Source organism: Homo sapiens, chromosome 5 (genome assembly GCF_000001405.40).
Source record: "Homo sapiens chromosome 5, GRCh38.p14 Primary Assembly".
Lineage (NCBI taxonomy): Eukaryota > Metazoa > Chordata > Mammalia > Primates > Hominidae > Homo > Homo sapiens.
In genome coordinates, this window is record NC_000005.10 from 55,035,884 (window position 1) to 55,047,078 (window position 11,195).

At 38.7% G+C, this 11,195-nt stretch overlaps 1 long non-coding RNA gene across 1 annotated transcript; it reads right to left on the minus strand.

The window, feature by feature from the left end:
• Positions 1-3,667: 3,667 nt before the first annotated feature.
• On the minus strand, positions 3,668-6,364 carry LOC105378971 (uncharacterized). Its single transcript, XR_948333.3, has 3 exons — positions 5,959-6,364; positions 4,624-4,805; positions 3,668-3,934 (listed from the first exon to the last, which is right to left on the minus strand). It is a non-coding gene; the product is annotated as an uncharacterized LOC105378971 (long non-coding RNA).
• Positions 6,365-11,195: the final 4,831 nt, after the last annotated feature.

The window sequence follows — 11,195 nt, forward strand, 5'->3', positions numbered from 1 at the left end:
AATTAACCAGCACTACCCCGCACTATGAATACTTAGAGAAATGGAAGCACTGGGTTAAAAAGGCAACCTAACTAAAATTATTGAGAATAATAATTTTTAAATTATTGAGAAAATAGTAAAAGAAGGTTCTTTAAATATCTCATCTTGTGTCATTTTGATTTATTAAAAGTATACTGATTATGAGACTACATTTTACAACAAAAGAAAAGGAAAAAATTGTAGATTCTCTGGACTTATTAAAAAATAATCCTGTGTCTATTTTCTCTAAATTTCAAATCCATGAAACATACCATTATAAATCTTTTTAACCAAAAGGACTATTGCCATTGTCCCTAATTCCAGCTAATAAGTTATCCTGAAAAGCTGTCACTAAAACTTGAGAGCTGTGTTTTGATTTTAGACACCCTGTTGTTAATATCTAATAGTCGAACCTGATCAGATTGCCAGAGAAGGTTCTTTCAACAGCTGTGGCAGACCTGGCAACTCTGAAATTGGAAGATAAACAGTTTATTTTGACAAGCAGCTAATGATAGAAACTGCAACTGAAATGCATTCCTTATCCTTCAGGGAAGTAGTATTTTATTAAATGTACCAGTATCTCCCAAACATACCCTAAAAGAATATAGTATTTTATTTGGAAACTTCTGTCTTCGAGAGCCTATTTGATTCTATCTTTGGCCTCAAAATGAAGTTGAGAGTCAAACTGAAGCAAATATCCAGATTTTAAAACTGCTCAAAGGTTTTAGAGCAAAGTGGTTTGCTGTTGTCATTCCAATCATTCCATTTCCTCCCTTCTTTGTGGTTGTGGACAGAGTATATTTGCCTTCCACACAGATGCAAAAGAAGGCTTTATGCTTTATTTTATGTCCACCCTGTTATAATAGAAAGTGACAGCACTAAGTCCAGATATAATACATGAAATACATCAGTATTGATTCAAATAAGCAATTAAACCAGTCTAGAACCAGGTAGCAGAACTAGTCCTACCTTCTGACTCTCTTAGTTCTTGCACATATTAAATCTCAACTCACTCTAAAATGATATGAAGAGCAGTGCTTCAAGCTTGGTTGTTTTTAGAAAACTATCTGATTAAAGGAAGGTGCTATTGGTCAATCAAAGAAGTGCTTCTTTTTTTACTAAGCTCTTAGTTTGGGAAAGAACACTGCTGTAGACTGAATCACGTCTGCTCCAAATTCATATGATGAAGGCCTAAAGCTCAGTGTGACTGTTTGGAGGTGGGGCCTATAAGGAGATAAATAAGGTAAAATAAGATCATAAGGGCAGGGCCCTGCTTCAATGAGATCCCAGTGTCCTTACAAGAAAAGAACTAGAGAGCTCAATTGCTCCCTCTCTCTGCTATGTGAGGACACGGTGAGACAGCAGCCATCTACAAGCCAGGAAATGGGCCCTCCCCAGAAAATGCATTGGTCAGCACTATGATCTCGGGCTTCCAAGCCTCTGGAATCATGAGAAATAAATTGCTCTTGTTTAAGCCACTTAATCTGCAGTATTTTGTTATAGCATCCCAAGTTGACTAAGCCAGACACACCTGTGGTGAGGGAGAAAGGACACTGTGTGCAACCTGCCCAAGGGCAGTGCAGCTGATGTCTCAAAAGCCCTACAATTTCAAAAGATTACTGAGACATGCCTGAAAAGCTATATGTATGTTGTCTGATGACTTATTTGAGGACCAAACGCATCCTGGCTGAACGGTTGGGCTCCTGTGTCAACTGATTCAGCCCCGCTTTCACGCTTTCACACATTGACTTCCTGTTGACTTCTCCAGTCTTTTAGCTGAATCTTACCAGTCAACTCTAGATTAACAAAATCTCCTCATCACTTCTTATGTTCTACCATGAAAGGATCACATTCTTTTTCTGGTTTTAGCCATAAATGTCTGTGTGACAGCCTGTTAGAGTCAGCATATGGGTTTACACTGAGGCTTTCCCTGAGAACTTACAAATACATTGAATAAAGTTGCTCTCTGAAAGTTAAAATTTAAACTCTATACATATTAGGTCAGAGCAAAGATACATAAAATCACTCTGAAGAGACATGGGACATTCCCAAAACTGCAAGACTACCTGTAATCTGCTTGAAGGTTAGAGACTACCAGTTTGCTACTCAGTCATCTCCTCTTTTTTTCTGGCATCAAAACTCAAATATTATTTGTTACCACAAATGTGCACAGCCAAAACATGGTATTTTCCAACCTCTCTCCTTGCCAGTAGTGGTCAATGAGAAATAAGTGAAAGTGATTGGCTGAGGGCTTCTAGGAAGTGCCTATAAAAGGAGCTGACTCAGCTGGAAGAAGTGCCCTTTCCCCCTTCTTCCTTCCTACTGCCTGGATTGCAGATGTGATGGCTAAAGCTCCAGCAATAATGCTGAACCACGAGGCAAACTTAAATAGAAGCCAAGTGCTACCGACAGTGAAGTGGAAAGAAGCAGCTGATGACCAAGGAGCCTCCATGCCAATCCTGTACTTTTTCTTTTACACAAAATAAAAATAAAAAATATTTAATCCACTATTATTTGAAGCTTTCTGTTGTATACATCCCACCTAATCGTAATAATAAAATTGGGAACCTAAAACTTCTATGCCTGATATATGCTCCAAACAATGACAAGCATATGCCTTTATCCCCTCATACCCAGACCCTCTCAAATCCTAAATGGCTTTAGCTTTCCACCTTCCCTTATTCATACAAGAATCGATTAAGAAAAACTAACATTTAAATGTTATAATCAATAAACGATTTCCCCCTCACTGTTCATCTATAGCTTACTATGGAGAAACTTCCCTGGCCTACCTGACAAGCTATTTTTATCTTAACCACATACTGCTATATGGCAAACATTTTTGTTTCTATTATAAAAATGATACATAGCACTCAGTAGTCTGTAATACGTTTTACTCCGTTGGTGTTTTTTGTGTGTGTGTGTGTGTTTTTGAGGGGGGGGGTACAGAGTCTAGCTCTGTCGCCCAGGCTGGAGTGCAGTGGCGCGATCTCGGCTCACTGCAAGCTCCGTCTCCCAGGTTCACGCCATTCTCCTGTCTCAGCCTCCGGAGTAGCTGGGACTGCAGGTGCCCATCACCATGCCTGGCTAATTTTTTGTATTTTTAGTACAGACGGGGTTTCACCGTGTTAGCCAGGATGGTCTCGATCTCCTGACCTCGTGATCCACCTACCTGGGCTTCCCAAAGTGCTGGGATTACAGGCGTGAGCCACCGCGCCCAGCCCCATCCATGTATATTTTGTAAATGGATCTTGTAGAACTGTTTTTTGAAAAGTTGCCATGAAAATAATGTTTTCTGGCATTTCAGGTTATTGTTTGTTTTATTATTTCACAATCATTTGAAGTAATACAGCACTGTTTCCAAATCAAACTACAAAAGCAACTCTATTGGAAGACAGTTGATACAGTAATATCCTGAATATTAGCAGTGTTGTAGGAAATCAAAGCAGTCCCATATGGGGTCAGTCAACAGCACATGGGATGGCCATGTTAACAACCAATTCGATAGATTCCAGAATCCCCACCATTTAGCATCTAGAGAGAGAGATATTTATTCATTTATTCATTCACTCACTCACTCACTCAACAAACACATCAAGCACTTCCATTTGCCAAACACTGACCTGGTCACTGGAGCAAGAGGAAAAGATACAATTCCTGCCGTGCAAGAACTCATAGTCTAGACATGTCCATGTTTACATGCAAATAAACATACATATGAAAATAAACAAATATACTATGCTTCAAAATTGGTTACAATGCAGACGTGCACAAAAATTATTATAATACAGATATGCACATGAGACAGAAAACCGACTTACCTCAGGCGTAAGTCAGTCATTCAGAATTCCTGGAGGACAAATAATTGGCCCTACCTGGCTAGACCTATGCAGATGAGACCTGATTCAAAAATATCCTAAGGTAAAGAGAGGGAAAGATCTAGATCACCAGATTTGTACAAACCACTCCAACCGGATAAAAGAAAACACAAGCTACAGCAATTCCCATCATAAAACCATGTCAATAAAGGTGAGCACATTTATTCCTTTTAAGAACTCAGCTCTCTCCCACACCTCTGTGGTCTTCCATAGAGACATCCAAGGCAAAACACGTGACCAGCAGAGATGTCTCAGGAGGAACTGTTCCATTTCCCTCAGCAACAGATGATTCAGCTTTTTCCATGAAGCAAGAATGATTATTGCCATGCTCTGTGGCTCACGCCTGTAATCCCAGCACTTTGGCAGGCTGAGACAGGAGGATCACCTGAGGTCAGGAGTTTGAGACCAGCCTGACCAACATGGAGAAACCCTATCTTTACTAAAAATGCAAAAATTAGCCAGGTGTGGTGGCACATGCCTGTAGTCCCAGCTACTCGGGAGGCTGAGGCATGAGAATTGCTTGAATCCGGGAGGCAGAGGTTGCAGTGAGCCAAACTCGCATCACTGCACTCTAGCCTGGGCCACAGAGCAAGACTCTCTCTCAAAAAAAAAAAAAAAATATTCATCTGACCTTTTAGAAGCTTTGGAGATTTGGGGAATGAGAAGAATTTGTGAATTCCACAAAGCATGGAAACTCTAAAACATACCTATCCCAAACTTTGCCTACCTGCCACCTCTGTTCTCTTCATTTTTATTTTTTTCAAATAAAGGCAACTCAGCAATATTAAAACAGAAGTGGGCTGATGTACTGGCTTCCATGGGCTGCTGTCCTGCCTTACCATACTGGAGGACTGGTGCTGGAGAGTTTCCCACCTTATAGAGTGATCAAACCGCAGTAACCTGCACAAACTACAGATTAGGGTTTGTCAGATTCAGCCATATTTACACAAGACCTGTGTTCTCTATCCAAGTGCTCTCACTTTCGAATCTACGTCATTAAAAATATTATACCTCAAATTAACTATTTGAGTTTTAATTAGGAAAAACATATTTCACAAAACATTTTAGGCTGGTCTGAGTGCAATGGTGTTTAAACTAATTGATCACAATGTTATGGATTTCTTTGTTCCTCCTCCACTCCCATTGCTTCACTTGACTAGCCTTCAAAAAATTTTTAGATAGAAATAGTATAATCACAGAAATGTTACTAGAATTTGTGCTGTAAAATTCACTATGCTATTAGCTCCATGAGAGCTGGGGCCCATATCTGTTTTGATCAACACTGTACAGGCAGAACTTAGCAGAGGACCTCATATGCAGTGACTACTTAATAAATATTTGTAACGGATAGACAGGGGAAGGGATGAATGGATGGATGAATGAAAGAATTTATTGTATCAATTAATGATTGATTTATGATTGAATGAGTGAATGATCAATTAATAACTCTGCTTCTGGAACCATTTAAAGACATATATAATAATTAAAACATCATAACTACTTCATAAAGGCAAGGATTGTGTTGGGCATAAAATAGAAATAATCTCATAATTATTTGATAATGCTTTGAGCTCCATGGTAGGAAAAAAGCACTATATAAACATTGAATATTATTATTATTTATTTGAAAGTTTCAATGAGCCATCTTTTATATAAGACTTAGTAAGTATTGCCATTGCTTTCCAAGGAGGAAAAAAAAGGTTAAGAAAATGATTAGTATGATTGGTCTGAAAGAGATTACTTTCAAAGTTACTTGTTTTGGCCTTGTCATCGTTGTCTAAATACTACAGTAGTTTAGTCAGCTTTTAGCAATATTGAACTTTAAGCTGTTAATTACCTTATTAATTTTCCTAAAATGTTTGTCCTCTTCAGTTCATTGCATACTTAAAGGATTTAGAAATGTTAACATTTTCCAATTCTGTATAAAATTATACTTTCAAAGAAGTTTGGTGAATTTGCAGTGGTTATAATAATACCATCAGGGTCAGTAAATCTGAAGACAGGTATAAACCGCAAATCTTATAGATGGTGGTATTGATACAAGAGATGTCAGATAACTTACCTCTAGCCCAAATGGAACTCCCTGATGTTGTTTAGGAATTGGTTGTCAAGGGGATTGAAGTCTTGAACTCTGCAGAGAAATGGTGTTTTGACAGTTTTTCCCCTTCCTGGCACTGATAATCATTACTTCTCAATACCCACTTCCTTGCTACCCCAAGTAGAATGCAATAGAAATATTTGAGGACAACAAGGTGTCTGTTTCACACTGAAGTAGTAGCCGAATAATCCCTAAAATAGAAAAATAATATTAGAAAAATAATCTCTAAATTTGAGGATTGGAATTGTGGTTGGAGATGTGGAAATTCAGAGAGGCAGAAGAAACAAGAGGCTGGGAGACCCCAGCCAAACACTTGGATGAGGCTATCTTGGTTTGGGCTCCCCCAAAAGCACATCCTGAGGTACAGATTTGGTGCAAAGAGTCTCATTGGAAGGCAACACCAGGAAACTGATAGGAAAGTAGGGAAGTGAGAAGGGAGAGAATAAAAAGCCAATAAAGCGTACATTTTCATGCATTTATCACTATGGGCAACTGGAACACAATCCCACTGGGAACTCCAGGAGACAGTGTGGAACACTCCTCAGAGCTATTCCAAATGAGGGACTAGGAAGCTGCGATCCTTACCAACCAACCTCCCACCATCATTGCTTGAGAGCCACTCCAGGGTCATTAACTTTACAGCCCTTCCAGCTTGTCCTGCTCATGGGCTGTCATATGGTTTGGCTGTGTCCCCACCCAAATCTCATCTAGAATTTTAGCTTTCATAATTCCCACATGTTGTGGTACAGACCCAGTGGGAGATGATTGAATCATACTGTTCTTGTCGTAGTGAGTAAGTCTCACGAGATCTGATGGTTTTATAACGGGAAACCGCTTTTGCATGGTTCTCTTTTCTCTCTTGTCTGCCACCAGGTAAGATGTGCCGTTCACCTTCCACCATTATTGTGAGGCCTCCCCAGCCATGTGGAACTGTGAGTCCATTAAACCTCTTTTCCTTTATAAATTACCCAGTCTCGGGTATGTCTTCATCAGCAGCATGAAAATGGACTAATACAGGCTGAATATACTCCCACAGCTAGGAAAAAAACACAAAACATTCTCAGACAGAGCTGCAGGTTTGTTTTTGGTTTTTTGTAGCAAGGAGTTTTTGTTGTGTAGGCAAGTGCCAGAGGCACCAATGGTATCTGTTACAGCTGCGTTGGAGGCACTCACTACTCCTTGACCATGTTTCCTACCAGAAAGGCTTGACTGCATGACTAGCTCCCTCAGATGATAAATGAGTTGGCTATGAGACGTGAATGACTTACATGATTACATTTGCTACTTCCAGATAACACACTGGATTGTAACACAGTGAATCCAGGGCTGAGACTTTCAGGCACCGAACTGGTTCTGGAAAGGAGATTTTTAACACCCTGAAATCCTACCCTACAAGTAAGTTCAGCAAGTAGGCCCTATTTGAAATTCCAAGATACCTACCAGTCTCATGTGTATGTTCTATTGGTCATGCCCATTGACGGCTGTTTGCATCCAGTTTCCCCTCTGAGATCACACACATTTCCTGCATGGTGCCAGATATTGGTTTAAGAATTTTACCTATCTTAACCCATTAAATCTACACAATGAGACCATGATGTGGGTGCTGTTACTATCTTCGCTTCATAGATGAGGTACAGAGAGATTGCTAACTTGTCCAAGGTCACACCGTGAGTAAATAGCAGAAGAGCATGGGTTCAAACTCAGGTAATCTGACTCTAGAGCCTGCTTGTCCCATAACTTCCTTCATGGGGTCTGGCAAGCACAAACTCATGCAGCTTTCCTCATATGAAGCAAGAGCCACAATTTACCCTAAGGAGATTCTTTCAGCCAATTATACCAACTATTTTAAAATCACCCCACTCCCCCACACCCCAACACATGCCTCAATAGCCCCTGTCTCCCCCTTGTACTGAAAGAACAGAAAATTCTACATCGCAGTAGCACATTGCTCCAGAGAATTCATGGAATAGATTCTAGAGAGTTCATACTAAAAACAGAGAAACAAATCAAGGTGCACCACCCCAGATGTAATGTGCAGAAAAGAGCACTGAACTCTGGAAATCAGTAAAATATGGGTTCTCGTCCCAAAAATGCTATTAGCTTTGCAACCTTGACCAAGTCACTTCATTTCTCTGAGCTTCCATTTCTTCCCCTGCCACATAAGTGATTTGGACTAGACAAAATATAAAGTTCCTAGGAGCCCTAAAAATCCATGATCTTGGATTCAAAAATGTTTCTCATTAATTATGCTGCTGGATGGAGGCAACATCTTCCATTCCCCTTTTTTGAGCAATTGACAAAGCCCTGCCTTTGGAGTTCCCTCCTTTTCTGATGCCATATCATTTCCAAGCCACAGCCACAGATGGCTGTTGGATATAAGTACCAGAGACCAAATGCAAGAAGCAGAGCTCTAAAGAGCTAGTCAGCAACCACAGGAGGCTCCTTGTCCCAGTCTCAGTTTCACAGGTTTGGCATCCCCCAATTTTTCTTATATGAGGGGAGTACATGGAAAAAGTATCTCAGCAAAGTAATTTTTCTTTTTATAATAATATTTTTCGGTATCTAAGGAAACAGGAACCACTTGACAGGTCCTAAACAAACTCAGACCAAGCCTAAGTGAAATCAGAGTGTAAACCTTATATTAAACAGGCTGCCTCTTTTTGTAATTAAGCTTTTATTATGAAAAATTTTTAACATATGCTAAAGAGCTTACTCTCATGAGTCCCATGAACCAATTACCTAGCTTCAACAACTTTCAATTCATGGCCAACCTTGTTTCATCTCTACCCCACCCAGTCCCCTCAACTCTAGATTATTTTGAAGCAAATCCCCACCGTTATGTCATGTCACCTGTAAATATTTACTATGTAGCTCTAAAAGACAAGAACTCTTTTTGAAAGCATAACCTTGATATCATTACTGTGATTGTTTAATCTTATTTTGCATCTTTTCTAAAATTAACATTAGTTATTTGATATCAAACAATATTCAATGTCCAAGTTTCTCCAATTGTCTCGTTTTTTAAACAAGTAATGTATTCAATTCAGTATCCAAACGTGACCCATATATTGAAACGTATTAATGTGTCCCTTAAATCTCTTTGAATGTATAGGATTTTTCTGACATCATTTTGTTTCCTTGTAATTTTGTCGTTGAAGAAACTGCCCATTTTTCCTGAAGGGTTTGCCAGAGTGGATTCTGAGTATTACATCTCCATGGTGTCATTTAAAATGTCACTCTCTCCATTCAATTTTCTGATAATTGGTAGTGAGTTCTAGAGGCTTGAGCAGATTAAGGTTCAGTTTGGGGGCAAGGTAAAGTTTGTATTTCTGTTACGAGTACATAATATCAGTGTCCTTTGGTGTGATGTTAGCAGCATTGATCACTGCCTAGATCCCTTAATTAATTCATTAGAATGGTCCTAGTTATTGGGTCAGTCATTGTTTCTAGGCCTCTTTTGGGGGTATAGCTAGGAAAGAAATTTTGGTTTTTTGTTTGTTTTTGTTTTGGGGAGCAGGTTGTTTGTTTTTTAAGAAAACATGTAAGTTCATACTGATTCTTCTTGTTGGAAATTGGGTCCACAGAATATTTGTCTAATTTCATTCTCACATTTACATCTCCGTTCTCTCATGTTGAAATCCAAGCTCTTAAGGACAAAAAGCATAATTACTCATTTCTTTTTTCAGAAAATAATACGTAATGGTCTCACAATGATGATATCAATACTATCACCGAAATATGATTACTGAAAACAGTTTAAGCACATTTTATTATTAGGGGAAGTTTGGTTTGTCTTGCAAGAATTTTTTTTCCTTTAGGGTATGTCCCATTAAGGATTTATAGACAAATTCCTGTGTCACTTAAGTTTCAAATCAAATCCACAAAACAAGAGCTATTCAGAGAACTACAGCTTTGATTAGTCTTTTTCCTTCCCTTTCCACTAGACAATTATGTTTTTACTTTATTAAAAGTTAATTTTATCCTCTTTAAAAATGTTATTAACATTTGTTTTTAATTTAGCTTTCTTATATGATAGCATATTTAACATACTTTACCATCTTACTTTTTGTTCTTTTTCCTTTTTTTTCTTTTTGTTAATATTGTATTCTGAAGATATAACTGTATAGCAGCACAGTTGGCCTTTGAACAACACAGGTTTGAACTGAGCAGGTCCACTTATATGAAGATTTGTTTAAGTAAATGTGGATCAAAAATACAGTATTCATGGGATGTACACCCTGACTTTTAGTATAGGTGGATTCCACAGGGGTGACTACAGAGGTAGGAAGAGGCAGGGTCCTGGAACCAATCCCCCATGTATATGGAGAGATGACTGTTCCTCATCCCTTTTTACAGCTACATGGTATGCAATGTATAGATGTATCAATAATTTATTCAACCAGTCCTCTGGTTGGATGGACGATTGGATTCATTCCAGTGTTTTTCAATCCCAGATAACGCTGCAATAAATATGATGTCTCATTTTTCTTTTTTTTTTTTTAAGTTTCACACATAAAGAATTGGAAAAATTCTCCTCGCTTCAATTTTCATCGCTTTGTGCCTTCCATATCTTTGTGTCTCTACGTCTTGGTACAGATTCTGACAAAGAGTAGATGCTCAATACATGTTTGCTGAGTAAAGAACTCAACCATTTATGTGTGCAATCTACAAGTAGACCAGTTAATTACATGAATGAAAATTTGAAAATGTTGGTGAGGTTAACGCAAATCTTATAACTTAGTGAATATTTTCTATACTCAAAGACTCATTTATCTATAAGGAAGGTAGCCTAATGTACTGTGAGTCCAAAAACTTCTCTGAGCTAATGCATTATGAAAATGCATTTTTAAAAGATACTCTCAGTGAAGCACAGAGTCTTGGGCTTCCTTTCTTGGCCAATTTTTTTACCAAGAGGTTGGAAGTGGTTGTAACCAGTATAAAAGAGAATAGAGTCTAGGTCTTAAGTGTTTGTTTCTCCGTAAGAATGTGGTAGGCACCACTGAAGGGTTAGTGATGATGTGGTTCTCTTATGGAAGTCTGTACTACTTAGTGGCACTGTGATTGTTTCATTGTGCTATAATTCATTCATTTCTGTGAAGTCTATCTCCCCTGCTAGGATGTAAGCTTCATGGGCAGAGACCATGTCTATCTGTGTCTGATGTCCAAATGTCCCACACTGAACCTGGCACATGGTAGATACT